Source organism: Homo sapiens, chromosome 6 (assembly GCF_000001405.40).
Source record: "Homo sapiens chromosome 6, GRCh38.p14 Primary Assembly".
Taxonomy (NCBI): domain Eukaryota; kingdom Metazoa; phylum Chordata; class Mammalia; order Primates; family Hominidae; genus Homo; species Homo sapiens.
The window spans coordinates 81842828-81864327 of record NC_000006.12 but is presented as its reverse complement, the minus strand read 5'-3'; the positions used below and the strand labels follow the sequence as shown (position 1 = coordinate 81864327).

The window sequence follows — 21500 nt, the reverse complement described above, 5'->3', positions numbered from 1 at the left end:
CACCAATTGACAATGGAGGCAAATATTTACCTACATTCTGGTAAATATGGCAATTTAAGTTTCCTTCTATGAAATTTTGAGCTAATTCTGGGGACTTTTTTTGTTGTGTGTGTAACTTGTAGTTTTACACTATTATACTGTATTTATCCTAATTTGTAGATTCAAATTTATAATATATTTGCTTGGATGAGGTTTGTTTTAGAATCATAGTCTCAACTTCATAAGTGTTTTAGAATCATAGTCTCAACTTCATAACTGGTTAAGCTAGAAATGGTACCAGAGTTAATACTGGGTATCATACCATGAACTAAAGTGTAAAGTTGGCAAATACATTTTGTGTCCTGTTCATAAAGGATCCTATCTTAATGGGTCTTTCCTCCTGAGTCATCTTTTCATAGATTTCTTGCTGAATCCAACTCCCTGGAAGTCACCAGGGAGACCAGAGACACTTTGGTGAAAATCGTTCCTAAATAGAATAAAATATGTCCTAGTAGAAAAGTTTTCATACGTTTTCAGTGACTGTTTCTCTAATTCATTCTTAATATTCTTGTAGCCATAAATAAAAATAATAATATGATGAATCTCATTTCCTTTTTTTTGTCTTTTTAAAGATTCTTGACTCTTGGCTGTTTTCCTCTACTTAGCATCTTGAAGCCCTTTCCCACCTATAGTTAGCGCTTACTGGTGAATATGTCACCTAATTTTTGTTCTAGCTTAGACCAGAACTCAAACGGTTTCTGGTGGCATTATTCATCATTATTTTAATAACCTTTTCTTTTTCTGCAATTGACTTTGAGGTCTTGGATACTCTCTCCTTTTCAGTATAATCAGTTGTGAAATACAAATGTCAGGCTAGGTTTTCTCTAACTGAGATTGGACTTCAAAACTCTATAATCCTGTAATGCTTGTTTCCCTATGTCAGCTGCTGATATTTTTGGTTACTTGGAAGTTGGTCTTCACAATCAGACTCCCCTGCCTGTTTGGCATTAGCTGCCTGTTCGTCCTGCACTCCATGAGCCTCCTCTCACACAGGAATCTCTTTGATCTCAAAGACAGCTCTGTAAGGTGCAGAGAAAAACAAATACCAGGCTATTTCCCTCTATGGTGCTCATGACAATAATGAGTTGTTCAAGAGAATAAGAAAGCTTAAAAACAACTCATAGTACTATCCTTGAAGCACCTTTCACAAGTGCCAAATTAATTTCTGTCAATACAAACATGTTATTTAAAAAAAGAAATTTCCCAAACATAAAAGGAATAGAATAAATGACATTTCAAAATGGCTTTGATTATCCATTTTCATAAATATACCAGCAGCCTGGGAGGAAAAATTTCTGCTTGTACCACTAACCTAAATTCTCCAGAGGTTTGAGGGAATGATTTTTATAGCAGTCCTTTCTTTATTAAGCAGTCATATTAAATTATTGCAGCATACATGTAATTTACCAATGTCTGACCTGCTTTGAAATATGCTTTTTCTTAGAAATAAGTAATGAATCATGCGTGGATACACATAAATTAAATTAATTTGATAGTGAACATTAGGAAGCAAGAAATCAGTAATAAAATATGACCCTAGTGCCTTCCAAGTAAAAAGTAAAGACATCTAATATTGGAGCCTAGCAAAGCATTGAATATGCATTAAATTTAAAACCTGGGATAAATAAGAATCATAAGACTTGAGTTAAGATATGTTGCTTTTTAAGTGAGGTACTTCTGTAATAAGATAGTTGATTAGAAAATATTGAAGAATACTAAGCCAGAGCATGTATACATAGTCTATATTTCGAAGAGATGACTCTGAAATTGCACATAACTCCATTTGCATACAGCAACCCTCCCGTATCTGCAGAGGCTATGTTCCAAGAACCACAGTGGATGCCTGAAACCATGGATAATGCCAAACCATACACATACAATACTATTTTTTTAATCTGGTAATTGAGATGGTGACGAAGTGAGTAACAGGCAGGTAGCATGTACAGTGTCCTTATGCTGGACCAAGGGATGATTTGCATCCCATGCAAGATAAAGGAGGATGGCACAAGATTTCATCATGCTACTCAGAACAGCACACAATAAAAAACTTATAAATTGTTTCTTTCTGAAATTTTTTATTTAATATTTTTGAACCATGGTTGACTGCAAGTAACTGAAACTTCAGAAAGAAGAGTTGCAGATGGAGGGGGCTACTGTATGTGTTAGATACTTCACTTGAATGTGATATATGAGAATGATGGATTGCATCTATTTAATAAAACTAAAACAAATCTTGGCCTCCAAAGGACAAGAGTGTTTTGCTTTCAAACTGTGGAGAAATTGTTTGAGTATTTCTACCTCTTATTTCTGTAGAGATTAAGAATACAGCCTTTGGAATTATAAATATTTTGCATACTTTCTCAATAACTTCGGGAAAACTACTTGAGAAAACTCTCCAAACATCATTTCTTCATTTCTAAGCCAGGGACAATAATACCTATATCATAGAATTGTTGGAATAATAAGATAAAAAATAAAATAAAAAATATGTATGTGTATGGTAAGGTCTGACACCGTTATTGTTATTTATTTTTCTGGATGTCATGGGTTTTCTGTACCTGATGAACATGTATGACTGTTCTATAGGTGTCTGTGGGGTTGAAAGGAGGTCTGGTACCAGGAAGTGGATGGAACAATTCTGCACCTTCCTGCTTCTGTGTGAGCACTGGCCATATGATTTGAAGCTGCTGAAATTTGAGGTTGATCTAGCATTTTGATTGGGAAAGGGGCAAGTGTTGAGAAAAAGGAATAAAGTTTTTGCAGGGATGACAGAGATGTTACTCAGCACTCCAAAAACATGGTCTCACCCCAAGCCTGACATGGCCTCAGAATCTTTCCCAACAGAGCACACCAATAATTGGAGTTGGCCCAAGTGATGAAATTTGTTTTCTGTCTGTTAAGATGATCAGTGACACTCAAAGTGTGTTGTTGGACCAGCAGCATCAACGTGATCTGGGTATTTGTTAGAGGTATAAGTTCTCAGGCCTACCCACAGACCTACTGAATCAGAATTTTGGGGTGTGGGACCCAGGGGTCTGCATTTATCAAGCCTTCTAGGTGATTCTGATGGATGCCCACTTAGATGTTTGGCACATTAATAAAATAGGGATTGCTCACATGGAAAACCAGTGAAATCCACAGAATCTAATGCTTATGGAGGAGTTATTACATTCCAGGCAATGTCTGCTTTTCATATGCCTAATCCTCCCAACAATCCTTTGATTATTGAATAATCAAATAATCAGATAAATAGATGAGAAACATGAGATAAAGAGAAGGAAAGAAGGGAGGGAAGGAGGGAGAGAGGTAGGAAGGAGAGAAAGAAAGGAATAAAAACTACATTTCAGAATTGTTATATAACATTCATGCAGCTACTAGGAGGTAGGGTTAGAAGTCAATTCTTAATTCCCAGTTTAACTTCAAATTTCAAAGCCAAACATGTTTCCCCTTCCATTCTGCCACACTAAGCAATATAGGTAATAAACAAATGTTTCTATGGTGCCAACACAATTTAAAGAATTGTTTGGGCCAGAAAAAAGTCACTGGAAAAATTAGACCTGAGTTCACTTCTCTTTTCACAGAGTAATGTAATTTCTCACAAAATCATTATGAACCAAGAAGTCATCCAATTTCTAAAATCTTGGAATAACTTTATCCACCATGAAATCCAGAGAGGCTGTGGGAAGAAAATCATATGTCAATGCAGATTTGGCTCTTAGAGCTAGAAGAGAAAGTTTTGGTCAGAACACTGGGATTGATAATAAAAATTCCCAGTCACTTTTAAAATTTTTAGCAGATTATGTGTTATGTTTTCTGAAATGGCTTGCCAGATAAAGTTTCAGGAAGAGGTCTGAATAAAATGTTCTAGCAACTGTTTCTTTTTCTTCCATGTTTTCTTTTTGAATACTTCTCCTTTTTGGCCAGAAAGCATTTTTCTTGTGCCTGACAAAATAAGCAAAATGCAAACTAGACAAAGAATAGTGTACCTTAAAAAAATACTGTATGAATGTATTTATTTTGGCTGATGAAGATATTTCCCTAAGATCCGAAGACTCCATAGAAGCTACTTTTATTAGAACCTCAGTGTTTGATCAGGTACGTAAAAGATGAATGCCTTTGCACAAGAAAGCAGAACATGAAGATCACATGGACTTGTCTGGATTGGGTGATTCCTGGCCACTTGTTGCTGATGACATCATCATTGATAATCATTGGTCTCAAATGCTGGCGTGGCCTGGGAGGCTGGTGTCTTGCCAAATGGTGCATATTCCCTGTGCAGGATATGAAGGCCTGTTTTGGTTTTCACTTCTTGCAGTCATTTGATATACATGCAATTATTTCAGCATACAAAGGGAAAACTAAATGTCAGATGTCAGGTCAAAGATAAATAGATTGGTTCCCAACTGACTGTCATGCTATATATGTGACCTTAGTCCTAGGGTTTTTTTTATCTGAACCAAGTTACTGGGAAAAGGAACCATGAATTTTCTTTGCTTAATACTAGTTTGTCAGAATCTATTGATGGATTTCTGTGTGGCATATTGAACTTCATCCAATATTATGTGTAGAAGTTTTCTTTTCTTCTTTTCTTCCCCCTTCTAGTTGTGGCTATTCAGCAGGTTATCACATTTCTGTAGATTGTTTTAAAGCTTCCATACTTTTCATTCTCTGCTGAAAGTTGGTCAAAGTATGAGAAACAGAAAAAAAAGTATTATACTTTTATAGCCAGGGTCCCAAAGTCTCAAACTTTGATGCTAATTGTTTCTATGAGATTTTCTACAGTGAGTGAGAGAATTCCTCAGTTTATAGTATTATCTCTTGTCAGTGGTTGCTCTTTTGTAGAGCTTAACAAATATTTTCGGGCAGTCTGTGTGTGTTACTGCACCTGCACAATGCTGAAGCTGCTACAGATATGTGCGTAGTGTTTGTGAACAATCACCAGCATTATAGGTGGCAATTCTAACAGTTCAGATAGAGAGGCAGTTCCTAAGACCAGTGGCATGGCATGCCAATGGCAGTTGCCTCCCAGCTGGGAGAGGCCGGGGGTTTGTGCCATCTCCAAATGTAACCCTAACTCTGTCTTCAACACAGAGATTCATCACATGGATTTGAGCTGTCCAAAACACTTGATTAAAAATTCAGTTGAATCCAATAAATATTTACTGAGCATTGTATTTTGCCTTCAGGATAAATAAAATGCGATAGTATGTCTGCCCTTAGTTTTGTGAATTGTAGTGGAGGCAAAGCAAAGTTAAAACCTATTTAATGGTCCCAGAATGACAGCCTTTCATCAGGATTCATGATGATAAACATGATAACAGTAACTAGGAATGAAAATCACGTATTGTGAAATTGCTGTGTGCTAGATATGATGCTTGACTCCTTATGCATATTATTTCCTTTAATCCCCCCAAGCCCTCTACATATTACTATTTATATATTAAAATTGAAGAAACTGAAGCTCATAGAAGTTAATCATGCAAACATACCCTGACCACTTGGTGTAGCTTAAACCTGACCACAGGTCTGCACTCTTTCCTTTTCTATTCTGGATATTTCCAGTCTCCAAACTGGCAATTCTGGTACTGGCATTTTGATAAAGAGAGCTACCTGGAGCAAGGCTTATCTAGGTTGATTTTTACTGAAGGACAGAAAGGCACAATCAAAGCCTATGGGAAAGAGATAGTCATCAGGCAAATGACATCATTATATCATAATAATAACTACCACATCAACAGGCACATTTTATAAGGCAAATATCTAGATATCTACCATTTTAAGCATTTTTTTTGTGAATTGACTTTTTAAAAATCCCACAACAGCCCTATTAGGCGGATAGTGTTATTATCTACATATTACAGTTGAGGAAACTGAGGCACTCAGCTGCTAAATTACCCAAAGTCACCCAACTAATGTGGTGACAGATCTAGAAGATACCATTCTTTTGAATTAATTCCGGATGTTGGTTTCAAGACAAATGGCCAAATAAAATGCAGGAATTAGCTTTAAAAAAATTAAACTGCCTCTGGAATGTTGCTTTGCCATGACAGGAGGAAGGAAGACAAAAAGTCATATATCACTCCTAAATTCTTCTGCCTGAATGCAATTCACATCACTTTTCCTCACTTATCATTGGCCAAAGCAAGTCATATGGTCATGCCCATCTTCAAGGGGGTGGGGAGTGCTATCCTACCATGTACCCAGAAGAGTATCTGGAAATAGTGAAAACACTGTTAATAAGTCCCACAGGGGTGATATTTGAAGAGTGTTCCAGACACAGTCAACAGCTGAGGCTTGATAAAGTTCCATGAGCCTGGGAAACTACAGATATTTTTATACTACTAAATAGTGAGTCAGGGAGTATCAGGCATCTTTGGCAATGGTAGACTGAAGTCAGGTTTTAAAGGCCCTTGTACCCACTCTTACAAACTTAGACTTTATTCTGTAAGCTATAGGGAAGCTTTGAGGACTGTAAGAAGGAGAATGCTCATCAGATTTGGTTTTACCCCAGGTGGCTTTGGTGCAGTGAATGAGTTTGGAGAAGTCAAGACTACAAATAAGAAACTCAATTAGAATGTAATTAAACTTATGAGACTAAAACTACATGAGAGATATAGAAGTAAAGCAGAGAAGATTAATAAATATCTAGGAGATACAATGCACAGAATATGTTATTTAATTGAACATGCAGAATGAGAGCACAGAGAAAACTAGCAAAGCTCTCAGAATTAAGGTTTGTAGATGTTTATTTATAAAATGATGTACAGAGAAAACTAGCAAAGCTCTCAGAATTAAGGTTTGTAGATGTTTATTTATAAAATGATGTAGGGAATATGGGAAGGGCAGGATTGAGCATAAAATAAATTTTATATGTAGCCTATGGATCTCATATTATTGGAAGCATCCAACAGATATTTGTATATGTGAGTTGAAATCTGGAGGGAAGGTCGTGGATGAAGATTTAGTTTCAAAAATCAATAGGACATGGAAAGTAGTTAAAATCCTGAAAGTGGATGACAGTCCAAAGAGAACCTTCACCATGAAAAAAGCAGTGGAAGAAGAATGGAACTAGGAAACTCAACGTTTAAGAGAGAGGCAAACTGGGAGTAGCTCATGAAAGAGATAGAGAAGGACTGGACAGAGGTAAATATAAAGAGTTGAGAAAGAGACCTCAACAAAGCTAAATACATCAATCAGATCAAGAACAATAAATAAAATCTCAAAGTGCCCTTTGGACTTGAGTATAATTGAGTCAGTGAATGCACTTTGATAGAACATGTCAATTAATTGGTTGGAACAGAAAGCAAATTTCTGTGAGCTAAGGAGTGATTGGGTAGTGCCAGAATGAAGATGGGGAATATAGGTTATTTTGTCAAAAAGTTTAAAAAGAGGAAGCAGCAAACTAGTTTATTAATGGGGACATAAGGTCAAGAGATTTCATAAAATTAGAGATTCTTGGTCATGTTTATAAGCTACGCAGAAAGAAATGGTAATGCTGGGAATATGAGAAATGGAAGACGTAAAATAAATAAATGGCATCCTTATTTCCTAAATAGTCAACAATTATAGTTTTGACTACTATGCATTTGCTATAGGAGACTAATTTTTCAAGAAAAATAAATATATTATGAAACAACAAAATCCTTATAAAAAGGGCTGAATTATTCAGGGAACTGAGCAGGAGTTTCTGAGACTGAGGGTTTTAATCATGGCCAGGTGATTATTTTACTACACAATGTAGGGCAAATTATTTTGATTTTCACTGGCTAGGAGGCATGCAAAGTTAACTTCACTAAGCTGAACTTACCTCTCTCATTTTTCATATATGTAATGTAAGGGTGGTCTAGTTCCTGAATAACTAGGATGGATAATTAGCTAGGATGTTTGTAACAAAAATATTTTGCAAATAAAAAATGCTGCACAACAATTTTTCAAAAATATGTCATTTTCAATAAAATTTCAAACTGCTTCATGGTGTACCCTATTTAGTGCCTAAAAGCCTAGTATTAAAAAAATTAATAATGGTAGAATTTCAGAGAGTGAGGAAGCATAGGTGTTACTTGTAAAAGACTCAGCCTTTGAATTTATTCCAAACACCCCAGGTTAGCAGATACCACCAGCCCTGTGAAAACTTTGAAATAACACCTTTGTAGCCATCTGGTTCAGACTTGTTTTCTGATATCTCAATCAGCAACTTATCTAAGTGGGGCAGCTTTTTTGCTTTTGCTCAGTTTGCAACCAGGTAAGCACTTGCCATACTGAGGTCATGATACAAGATGCGATGTCGAAGAACATTATTTTTGCTGTTCTTCTCTACTTTAGTTCACTTTCTCATTTAACAGCTATTGAGCGTTATTTATCTCTGCATGGTTGCTAGCCTGGCAAGCTTACTCTCAAAGCTGTGGTGATATAGCCTCCTCTTCTTGCTACTCTAGCCTAATCTGAAACAAGAAGAATTTCAAAATTGTAGTTCTTATTTCATAGGAAATGCATTTTCAACTGACTATTGGTGGTGACTTTGAGTACTGGGTTGAAGAAAATGATGAGGCAAAGGTGCAAGCCAATGAGAAAGAATACAGTGTCTGTTGTGGGTGTAGAAAAAGGAGAGACAGCATGACCACCGGGTATTTACCATCCCCACTGTTTAACCACACTTTGGGATGTGGCATCTATCATTGGAAGCACTGATCCTGTAGCCCAATGATCACCAATTTTCTGTCATAGTTCAAGTTCTAGGAGCTTTATTTTCATGTTGTGCCCTGTTTCTGAGTCAATCCTACTAACTGTTAGTTAGTTGGCTGGGTCTTGAGAAGAGACAAGCATCTATCATATAAAAGGCCATGTGCTAATTATTACAAGAGAAGAAGAGATGAAAAAAACTAAGGTATCCGTTCATATGCATGAATTATTTTAATTTACTTTTTTCTTTGGTTTAGTTGTTGTTGTAACTTTTCAATTCACTTTCTGTGGTAGGTTTTTGTGGAGCTGACTAGCTGTCAAACAATTATTTTCAGTTGTTTGGCAGAGAGAAAAAAGGGGAATTTATAAAAACCACAGGCTTCATCTTTACCAAAGGAAAAATAATCTCTACATTTGAATCAGTATCCTTATTATGACATAAAAAAGTCTAATAAGCTTAAAAATATTACGTGAAATGCTTAGAAGACCTATTTGTTGTATTAATAATGCTTGGCCATTAAAACTTTGATACCCATTGCATATGAATAATATCATCTGATTGAAATAGGGTTTAAAAAGAAGTTCCGCACTGCAGTGAACAATATAACAAGTCAATATTTAAACTATCTCAGTTGTCCCAAAATGATTTGTTTGTTTGGTTGTTTGTTTGTTTTGTAATGTATCTTTTAGCTGATTTTAAAAATCCAGACTCTAATCAAGGATCCCACACCTTGCATTAGTTGTACTGTCTTTCTTAAGTTCCAAGCAGTTTCCCACCTATGTTTTGCCTTTGATTAACCTGCCATTTTTGAAGAGTTAAGGCTTGTCTTAGAGAATTTCTCTAAATCTGTCTGATTGTATCCCATGACTAGATTTAGGTTAAATATCTTCGGCAGAAAAACTGCACAAGTGCTGTTGTGTACATTTGATTACATCACATCAGGGGCCTCTGTGCGTTTTGTGTGATGTTTGGTTACCTGGTTAAGATGGTGTCTGTCAAGTTTTTTTTTTTTTTCATTTTGAAGTTATGCTTTTCCTTTATAATTAATAAGTAATCAATCAATGGGATGACATTTTGATACTATGTGAATATCATGTTCTCCAATACACTTTCACCCAGTAGTTTTAGCATGCACTGATGACCTTTGTCTGAACTACATTAGAGACTGCAAAATAGTCATTTCCTAATTTTATTATCCCTTTTACATTTATTTTCTGGCATTCTTGTGTAAACAAAAGACTCCTTCCTCCAGTATCACTACAGGCTCAAGAATTTTAAAAAATTCAATGTGTTACGATCCATTATGTTCATTTTTTAAATTCCCAAATTATCTCATATTTGGCCTTTCATGCTTGCCGCTTTGTTCTTTTGATTGTATTTATCATTCTCTGGGCACTTCCTTAGCTTTCTGACACAGAATGTTCAGGGTTCACCTTGTACACTATCTGTCTGTAATCTGGAATTAGCCATTTCTCCAGGAAACATTGTTTGCTTTCAGTAGTGAGTAGTGAGTAGTATTTCAAAACCAAGATCTTGATATTAATATGTTCAATGACTCAAGGTGACATTGTTTCTGGGTCCCTTCAGGAGGCAGAGAATATATACATTTTTGAAATCATGAATTGGTGCTGATGACTCCATTTCAGATCCAATACCTCTGGATTTCTCCTTACCTTCCCCATTCCATATTTACACACTGCTTCTCCCACAGTGTGAAACCTGAATCCTGACAACACCAATGTATTTGCTCATTTGCTTTATATTATAATATACAAAATAGTTTTAATAATCAACAAACTTACTAAGTCATGTTCTTCTTTCTATCTTGAGAAAATATCTCACTAAAGGTGTACATTAAGTAAAATGTGTTCATGAGTTATTTGAATCATTCTTTTCTTTCCTATGAGGTTGTGTTATTTTAATATACAGTTGGGTCAATTTGTTTCTGTTTGAGTTATATTTTAGCACGTGTTTTCCATCCTTGCTGATACAATTTTATTTTTGAATACGTAAAATATTTATACATCCCCCAAACCCTCAAAACTATTAAAAATTTGTACTTTGAGAAGCCTTATATGCCTCCCAACTTGTGTTACCACCGATTTCCTCTCCTCTGACCCCAAAGAGTGAACCATTTATATTTATTTCTGGTATAGTCTTCCTTTTTTTTGACAAAATAAACAATTATATATTTATGTAAGATAGATATATACAAATGGCAACATACTCTTTTGTATCTTGCTTTTTTTCTCTCCATATTCACTCTCAGAAGTCTTCATTTTTTTTTTGTATAGCTCTAGTGCAAAAGGGTACTCCATTGTGTGGCTATGGTAGAACTTGTTAAATTAGCCTCCTGTAGATAGACATGGATAATTTCCATTTTTTAAAAAATGAATTTTAAAAAATTCATTGCCACAGTGAGTAACCTTTTTACCTAGAATTGTTTTCTTTTTGTATTTATAGCACTGTAACCCATTGGAAGCAAATTCCTAAAAGTGGGATTTCTGGGTGGAAAGGCATTTTGTTAGATATTATCAAATTTTTCTCCATGAGTATTGTCAGATTTTTTTTGTATTACTACTAGCAATGTATGAGAAAATCTTTTTCCATAATTTTTTCAACAGAGTGTGTTACCAAGCTTCTGAATTTTAGGAATAAATTCTCAAAAAATGTTTTCAAACTAATTCTGATGTTCAGTCAGGTCGAGAACCACTAGCCTAGACAGTTAGGGATTCTAAGAGGATACAAAACGAAAGCCGTGATTATGGTAACAAGCAACACAGAAGTAACTTAAAAGGAAGAAGGAAGAAACAGCTCATTCAATTTTTATTTTTTTTCCCAGGCTTGATATTCCCCAGAAGTAAAGATTAACACCACATGATACAACCCATGTTTACCTTAAAACGAATTACACCTGTTTGGTATCATTTTACATACCTTACTTATCGACAATGTCCAGTTTGGGTTGATGTCTGTTTAGACACTAAGTGGGAAGTACTTTCAAGGTACCTGGCATCTTAGATGATGCACAAGTTAACACTCACCCAAACATTATTATTTAACTGAGCTGATAGAATCGAGGTACCATATTTTATAGATTCTAAGATACTGTTTTTTTTAACATCTTTAAATTAGTTTGCATCTTACAACTGACGATGTGCCATCATTGAATTGGCGTTCTTTTTTTTTTTTTTTTTTTTTGAGACAGAGTCTCGCTCTGTTGACCAGCTTGGTGTGCAGTGGCACGATCTTGGCTCCCTGCAACCTCCGCCTCCTGGGTTCAAGTGATTCTTCTGCTGCAGCCCCCCAAGTAGCTGGAACTACAGGCATGCACCACCATGCCTGGCCAATTTTTGTATTTTTGGTAGAGACGGGGTTTCACCATATTGGCCAGGCTGGTCTCCAACTCCTGACCTCATGATCCACCCGCCTCAGCCACCCAAAGTGCTAGGATTACAGGTGTGAGCCACCGCTCTCAGCAAATTGACAGCTTTTTAAAATCTCTTCAAGGTGCATAATATAACAGGGCATCTTGTAATCAATGGTGTATCAGATTTGATGAGATATGGTATGCCTTTTTTTTCTGTATTCGTTTCCTAGGCCTGCATAACAAAGTACCACAAAGTGGGTGGCTTAAAACAATGGAAATTTATTATCTCACAATTCTGGAGTCTAAAAATTCAAAATCAAGGTGTCAGCAGGTCCATACTCTCCTCTCTAATCTGTAGGATAGAATCCTCCTTTGTGTCTTTCTTGCTTTTGGTGGTTCACAGCAATCCTTGGCACTCCTTGACTTGAAGCTGCAGCACTTCAATCTCTGCCTCCATCACCACATGGCCTTCTCCCTCAGGTGTCTGTCTTCTCCTCTCCCTATAAGGACACCAGTTATATTGGGTGAAAGACCCACCCTACTATAGTATGATAGCTGATTATATCTGCAAAGACTCTATTTCCAAATTAGACCCTTCTGAGCGAGATACTGGGAATTAGGACTTTGACGTATCTTTTTGGGGAACCACAACCCAATTTATATATCATCTTATACCTTTTTATTTTTTTCAATTACTTCTCATTTGTCTGCTCTGACTGGATTTAAATCTTTATTAACAGCACGTTTTTTGTATAGTTTTTTTTGCATTAGTCCACTCTTGTATTGCTATAAAGAAATACCAGAGATTGGGTAATTTATAAAGAAAAGAGGTTTAATTGGCCCATGATTCCACAGGCTGTACAGGATGCATGGCAGCATCTGCTTCTGGGGAGGCCTCAGGGAGCTCTTACTTATGGCAGAAGGCAAAGCTGGAGCAGGTGTCTTTTATGGTGGGAGCAGGAGGAAGAAAGAAATGGGGGAGGTGCTACATCCTTTTAAACAACCAGATCTCATGGTAACTCACTCCCTATTACAAGAACAGCACCAAGAAGACAGTGCTAAACCATTCATGACGATTCCATCCCCATGATCCACTCACTCTCACCAGGCCCCAAATACAATATGGAGGATTACAATTTGACATGAGATTTGGGTGGGGACACAGATCCAAACCATACCAATTCTCCTTTCATTTCTCATTTCTCTCTCTCACTCTTCATCTCTTCTTGTTTTTCTGGAAGGTGCACGTTCCTTCCTGTTCATTTTTTTTTTTTTTTTAACGGAGTCTCGCTCTGTCACCAGGCTGGAGTGCAGTGGTGCAATCTCGGTTCACTGCAACCTCCGCCTCCCGGGTTCAAGCGATTTTCCTGCCCCAGCCTCCTCCACAGCTGGGACTACAGGCGCCCGCCACCACGCCCGGCTAATTTTTGTATTTTTAGTAGAGACAGGGTTTCACCGTGTTGGCCAGGATGGTCTCCATCTCCTGACCTCATGATCCACCCTCCTCAGCCTCTCAAAGTGCTTGGATTACAGCTGTGAGCCACCGCGCCCAGCCCCTTCCTGTTCATTTTTAGGCAGCTTCCATGGCTGCTGTTGATCATGCCTGAAGCTGCTTTGAAGGCAGAGAACTAGCAGTGATATCAAGATTTGTAAGAATTCAAGTACATAGAGAAAGGCATTTCAGATGATCCGGGAAGTTGATGTGGGAGAACGAGGTGGGGAGCACTTGTCCTACCAGAGAAAAGACTTATTCTAGAGCTGCAGCCATAAAATAATGGTGGTGACAGATAGATAAATACAACAATATGAAATATAATAGAGGATCTAGAATTATAACACACATATAGGGAAACCTGAGATATGGCAGAGATAACACTGAAGTTTCTAATACTTGTAATATGAGATTTTTGAAATAAAAGGATAATTAACTGAAAGGATCCAAGTGGCTTTCTAGGCTAATTATATGCATGCTTTCCTTAGTGATCCTGAGTACCCATATGGTAAGAATGTGGGCAGAGAATAATGTGATGGTGGTTACTTTTCAATATCTCTGCCCTAAATCCTGTGACTGGTGGTGAGTACAGGCGGTCCTAGTTCCTAGTGCCTGTATTCTTTTGCATCCCTAGTCCAACCTTCAGTGTTCTCCTCTTGACTCTCAAGCTGGTCTCTGCCAGCTGGTTATGGGGCTTTTTGGGCTGCCTCTCTTTGCCCTAGTGTCCAGTTATTTATAAAAATAGAGTTGATGGCCAGGCGCAGTGGCTCACGCCTGTAATCCCAGCACTTTGGGAGGCCGAGGCGGGTGGATCACGAGGTCAGGAGATCGAGACCATCCTGGCTAACACGATGAAACCCCGTCTCTACTAAAAATACAAAAAATTAGCCCGGCGTGGTGGCGGGCGCCTGTAGTCCCAGCTACTCGGGAGGCTGAGGCAGGAGAATGGCATGAACCCGGGAGGAGGAGTTTGCAGTGAGCTGAGATTGGTGCCATTGCACTCCAGCCTGGGTGACAGAGTGAGACTCCATCTCAAAAAAAAAAAATAAATAAATAAAATAAAAAGAGTTGACTTTCTTTACTCCTAAAATGTTCCCTGTCACAGCTATGAATACTATTACACTACTTTCAGTCAGACACTGAGCTCTTAACGTACTTACAGAGCTACCTGCCCTCTATGGTCAGTTAAAGGTCCCCTTCATGGTCCTGGAAGGGAGCCCACCCCTGCTTACAAGATCAGTAGCCTGCCTGGCCATATCTCTCTGGACTAGCTGATCAACTGTGGCTGTCAGCTGCACTGCCTCCTCCCCTCACCATGGTCACAGGCTTTCCTGGCCGCTCAGTGGACACTTGTTCCATGCCAGGCTGCTCCCCAATCCCTTACCATCTGTGGTGATACGAAGTCTCCCTCCTTGCTGGTTCACGACCCTTGGACAAGTAAGGCAGATTCTGAAATCATTTCATGATTTCAAATAGCAAGATAGAGTTTCCTAGAAGACCTCAACTAGAAAGGTCCTAAGAAGAACCAGACTACCTTTTAATTCTACTTTAGAACTTCCCTTGAAATATCTGGCTGTTGGAAATGAGAGCCAAGCAGGTGGAAGAAAGCCCATCAGAAATTTAGAATTAATATTTTTCACCAGGAATTTTTGTTTGACAGATTTTCCCCCAGTTTTTTTGTGGCAACTACATATATCATAAAATTTACCATGTTAATCACTTTTAAGTTCAGTGGGATTATATACATTCATAATGTTGTACAAGCGTCACTGCCATCTATCTCCAGAATTGTTTTTATATTGTAAAACTCTATACTTATTACACAGTATAGATGACAGATTTTCAAAGAATGCTTTGCAATAGTTGTTTTTGTTGCTGCTTTTTGAAGGTACCATCACATCAGTCGCTGAAAGTATTTGGAATATGATTAGCAAGCTATTGGAAAAATACTTATGATGCTATCTAGAAAAACAAAATATCACTTACAGTATTGTTAACTGAAAATTTTATTTGAATTTAAATTTATCTTCTCCACTCACAGCTCAAAAGGAATTTCAATTCAATGTCTAACTTGAGTGCAAACTAATTGTTTTCTCAGTTGACTCAACTATGTTTTGTGATATGAAATCTAATGTTTTGGGGAGTTCATACCTGGATAAGGAGATAAAAATATTCTTTTGTACATGGAATTCTTTAAGTATGGGACTCCCTCTCCATGGTCAGTGGGCATAAAAATAGAAGTAAGACATTGTTCCTGCTTATGGAGCTCAGTCTAGTGGGTGAGTCCACACATTGAGATACGCTGAGAGTAGAACTGCAAGGACAGAACTAACATGAGAGCTCAAAGGAAGCAAAGCTGCCAGAGTGTGAAAAGAGGAGCGTTCCTGGAGAGGGTGCCAACTGAGCCAAGCATGAGTAGGAGTTGGCCAGGTAAGCCTGAGAAGGTTGTGGAGGAGAGTCTGAGAAGACATTCCAGGTGGAGAGATGGAGCAAAGACACAGCTAGACAACAGAATTGTGTAGTGGAGATGCTGGTTAAGTTAAAGTTCAGGGCGTGGAAGAGAAAGGGAGGAAACCAGATTGGAAACCAAGCAAGACAATGAGGACTTTATCCTTCTTGTTGAGGGGCCTGAACAAAGTTCTTTGAAGCAAGAAACTATACAAAAGTCTATTGAGGCCTTATCATGTAGCATTCCCTTCCCAATCAGGAGAGTGACCATCAACTTCCTGTGGGTAGCGCAAAGGCAGATTTTCAAGAGGTCAAGATAACCTATGGGGAAGCTGATTTAAAGGCTGTTTTATGTTGCATACCAGCTAGAAATAAACCAAATATACAAAAAAGAGTTCAGACAAGCTCTGATCACTACAGAGATTAGGACGGCCACACTTTAGTCTACTTTTGGAGTCTGGCTCCTGATAGTTAAACCTAACCAAATTCCTGAGTTGCTAAACTTTAGTTTGCATTTTTTGATTTCTTCTTACAGAAATGTCTCTAATGTTAAGTTATACCTTCACGTTTGTGAGCAAGGAAGTTAAATGTAAAATATTCAAATTACCAAAAGAAAATTCAATTGTGGGTATGAAAAGGATGTCTTGGGCAGATATCCACTCAGAGGGAGCATTTTTTGACAAATGCAAATACAATTGTTTGAAGAGATGATAAAAGATACTTTCATTGCAATTATGCTAAAGAAGGTGTCAGAAAGAAAACATGACCTGAAACCTGTTCAATAATTTTGCAGGTACTTTCACTTCTACATGTACATCAGTAAGGATAGACTTACAGGAATGATTGAAATCAATCTGGTTTGAGTTGAAAATGTAGTTTGGTTAGAATCAATTTTAAAAAAATCTTCCTTGTCCCGTATGGTTCAAATAATGAGGAAGCTAAAAAGCTTTAAGTTGTCCACAAAGGAAAGGTCAATAAGAAATATGAATCCCTGTTTGCAAGCAAAAGAAAATTCAACTGTGGCTGACTTACAAACTAAAGGAAATGTATTGACTAATGTGTTTGAAAAATATAGAGATCAGGCGTAATTTAACTTGGATATTCATGATGTAAGAGCTGTGGGAGGTACAAAGAGGAGCTGGTGCCATTCCTTCTGAAACTATTCCAAACAATAGAAAAAGAGGGACTTCTCCCTATCTCATTTTATGAGGCCAGCATCATCCTAATAGCAAAACCTGGCAGTGACACAACAAAAAATTTCAGGCCAATATCCCTGATGAACATCGATGCAAAAATCCTCAGTGAAATACTGGCAAGCCGAATCCAGCAGCACATCAAAAAGCTTATCCACCACAATCAAGTCGGCTTCATTCCTGGGATGCAAGGCTGGTTCAACATATGCAAATCAATAAACGTAATCTGTCACATAAACAGAACCAACGACAAAAACCACATGATTATCTCAATAGATGCAGAAGAGGCCTTCAATAAAATTCAACACCTCTTCATGCCAAAAACCTCAATCAACTAGGTATTGATGGAATGTATCTCAAAATAATAGCTATTTACGACAAACCCACAGCTAATATCATACTGGATGGGCAAAACCTGGAAGCATTCACTTTGAAAATCGGCACAAGACAAGAATGTCCTCTCTCACCACTCCTATTCAATATAGTGTTGGAAGATCTGGCCAGGGCAATCAGGCAAGAGAAAGAAATAAATGGTATTCAAATAGGAAGAGAGGAAGTCAAATTGTCTCTGTTTGCAGATGACATGATTGGATATTTAGAAAACCCCATCGTCTTAGCCCAAAATCTCCTTAAGCTGATAAGCAACTTCAGCAAAGTCTCAGGATACAAAAAGTATAATAATAAAAATAAGAGCTGTGGATAATTTCTTCATTTTGTTGCCCTTTAGACACCGGGCCTATTCTTAGTCTGGCTTCCCTTATGGTAAATGCTAGAATCTCTCAGGACCATAAATAAGCTCCCTTGTTCACTTGGGGAAGGAAGAAAGAATTTTTTGAACAGTCATAGATCAAATGTTCTGAACTTCACTCCCATCAGGCTATTGCCAGACACATGCCTGCCCTTGAATCATTGGCTTTTACCAGGGGATAGTCAGGATGCTGACTGGTTTGGACTAGGTTCTGCACTGATCATCAAACCAATAACTCTGGCAAGGGGAATAGAATTACTTCAATTGGCTCAGATTGATCAGAGTCCAGTAGAACAAAACCCTGTGCACTAATAGGTCTGCGTCACTCAAAAAGGCATTTTATTTTTCTAGTTCACAAAGAGGTACCTATGAATTAGCAGCAGCCATGACCTTGGAGTTTGGGAATCAATCTCATTGGTTTTTGTATTTCTTTTATTTTCACTTTCAGATCCAGAATTCACCCTGCTGTTTCTCCATGAGTCTGACCTGCATCAACTGCCTCCCTTATTCTGGGATTCCAGTTGTGGAGCTCAAGGACAAGTCCATTCTGGGCTGGCTGTATCCAACTTCTTTAGTCCAACTATATCCCCACTGGAAGCCAGGCTCTTTCCAACAGCTGTCACCCATGCCTCTTTCTATGTTTGTTATCTGTCTCTAGGTTCTGGTAACTACTTCCTTCCCTTGCCCCTTCTGGCCTAGGGTGCTACCAATCCCTCCTCCAAATCCAACTGTCACTAGCCTCAAAGTACTTGTAGCTTCCTCACCTTACTTTCACCTTAATAAATGGTCCCCCTACTATCTCTCTTCAAAGCACCCAATTTGAGTGTGCCATCTGTTTCTTGCCAGGATCCTGGTTGGTACATCAACCAAGCTGCACTGATGGAGGAGCACTGTGCTGAACTTTAGGAATGAAGCCACAGGGCCCTCACTGCCCCCATAGTCACCTTGGTCATCTTCTGCCTCCCTGAAAGACTAAATTCAGTCAGTTCAGATACATACACATCCAGACATGTCAGGGAAAACTCCATTTTGTAAGGATCTCTGCTTAAAATGCCAAAAGTTTGAAAGTTGGCAAACACTTGAGAAAAGCACAGTTCTCTGTCTTACTCTTACTCTAAACTTGGAGATAAATGCATTTTTAAAATTGTGCATGTTAGAGTGCTAACGTGTACAAGATCATTTCTGGTGAGACACCACAAACAATATTTTATGAGGCCAAAATAAGAAAGAAGGAAATGAAATAGCTCAGGAATCTCAGGAAGAGCTCATCGAACACTTTGCCTTTATCTCAGACCATTTTATCCACAGCCCTGTTAATCAGGATTGGATATACCTCCATGAGGGAGTCTTAAACGGAGGGAAAGAGATGCCACAACTAAAAAAAAGAATGCAATAGAAGTTTGTCTTAATGCCTGTTCTGTGATGCACAACTTTCGTAAGCCAAAATTTTAACCTTATGAACAATCAGTTCTGTGCTGCCCTTAGCAGAGAACCATAAATTAAAGATAAGCAATGGTTCAGACTTTCCAGGGCCTTGACTCAGGAGTAACTCTGAAATCCCAACCAAATATGTATTTGGTTAAGCAATTTGGCACATTTTTCTATTTTGAGGCATTAAACTATAATTACAAGTCACTTTTATTTCATTCCAAATAAATGTCCCTAAAGTAGATAGAACTAGAGGTTTCCTTTTTTTAAAAAAAGGAAACAGGAAAACAACAAACAAAACCAAAAAGAACAAAAGCAAAACAAAACTTAGTCAAGCTAACAAATTGCATGTATGGTGTGTTTTATAATTTAATCAATATAAAAAATTGAGTGTGCTAGTGCCTCAGGAGGACTCAGAGGACTCAAATACTCAATAGGTTATCTGGAGGAATTTCTCATTGGAGAAAAAAATTAAAGTTCTTTTGAACAACCCACATAATCAAGATAGTAATAATTTAACCTCAAGTTTTTCCTTGATTAAAAAATCCCTTTGCTATTCTGCTCCAGTGTTTGTAATAGATGGTTCAACAAGACTGGTGTTTTGTTAGTTGGAAAAGTAAGCTGATATGAGGGGTGGGGAGAGGAAGGGCAGAAATTTATTAACAATCAGCAAGTAAAGAAAAACAGCCTGCAAATTGTAATGAAAGGAAGAAAGGACAGGAAAGGAAAGGTAGGGCTGGTGGAGAGTGACTGTTCTGCCTGCTTACTGCACAGGCCAAGAACAAACTCACGATAAATACTCCAGGTCCTCAAGAAAAAGGTTTCTGTGCTGAATTATGGTAGTCTACCTGAAATTGGGATGATGAATTAGAAAACCTCTCTCATCGCTTCAAGTCTTGTGATTTATTCATTCAGTGCCATTTATTGTATAACTATATAATTTCTAAAGGGGGATAACTACAAGAAAAAGATGTGATTTCTTCTTTCAGAGATCCCCAAATATAGAAAGCTATTCATATACTGCTTAGATAAACAAAGATTATCTTCTTTTTCTACATTCTATATAATGTTCCTTAAACTCAAGCTCTCTTCTCCCCATCTCTACCTTACCCCTCTGGGTAGCAAGGAAAAATAAAAATAATGTCATTCAATGGTTTCTTTGCCTCCTCTGATTTAAACAGTCTATTTTGATTTCAGATTTCTCTTTGAGGTAAATATTCCGGGAATTCTAAATTTAAGTCCTTATTATAGCGACTTCTTCCTTTCAATTCTTACTTCTTTCCAACGTGGTGTCTGTCCTAGTGATCCTCTTGATGCTGGGAGGAGGAGGAGTCACCTGTTCTCCTGTGGTCTTTCACTGGTTTCCACAGTGGGTGGCTGGTCCAATCCTTGGGTGCAACTTGGTCAGCTCCAGTGTGCTTTGTGGGGTCATGTTTCTGAGCTGAAGTCAGCAGCAAGGGAACTCATGGTCTACTTCTTTGACACACATTCTTTTCAGTCTATATTTGTGGTTCATGGAACTCCTAGAGGCAAACATGGTGCCTGACCACAATGGCATTTGATTTTTTGTTTACTCTGGTATCAATCATAATTTTCTTGTAGCATTTGAAAGGAGAAATCATATATTTCTAAAAACCCTATACATCAAATAATATGTTTTCAGTAAATGTTGGTTTTTTACTGTGCCACCTATTTTTTATCATAATTAACTATTGAACGATGAACTATCTTACATATACTTTTTAAACAGAAAAAATCAATACGATGTTTTTTCACTTCAAACTTGCTAAGTCATGACACATAGGTTTCCTATTACACATGTGAAATGAACACTGCTTTAGTAACAGTATCAATACAAGCAGAAAGGTAAAACAAATCCTCTACTAATTCATGAAATTGAACAGTTATTTAAGCTATTGGTTTGTTACAACATGAGTTACTTGATTGATTTTAGCATTATGCTTCATATATGTGTTTATGTTTTAATTTTGTATTTATTCAGTATCAACGTAGAACAGTACAAAGAAATTATACTCACAAAAACAGTGCAAAGAAATTATCAGAAAACCCAACTATTTTTTCTCAGCTTGCTTATTGCCTTT

General features: G+C 37.6%; 1 long non-coding RNA gene across 3 annotated transcripts in view; it reads left to right on the top strand.

Moving 5' to 3' along the window:
* The window catches only part of LINC02542 (long intergenic non-protein coding RNA 2542), a 257985-nt gene extending 237438 nt beyond the window's left edge, over positions 1–20547 (top strand). For all 3 annotated transcript variants that reach the window (NR_149135.1, NR_149134.1, NR_149136.1), the window contains one exon: positions 18419–20547. This is a non-coding gene — a long non-coding RNA (long intergenic non-protein coding RNA 2542). The remainder of the gene's footprint in view (positions 1–18418) is intronic.
* The last annotated feature ends 953 nt before the right edge of the window (positions 20548–21500 follow it).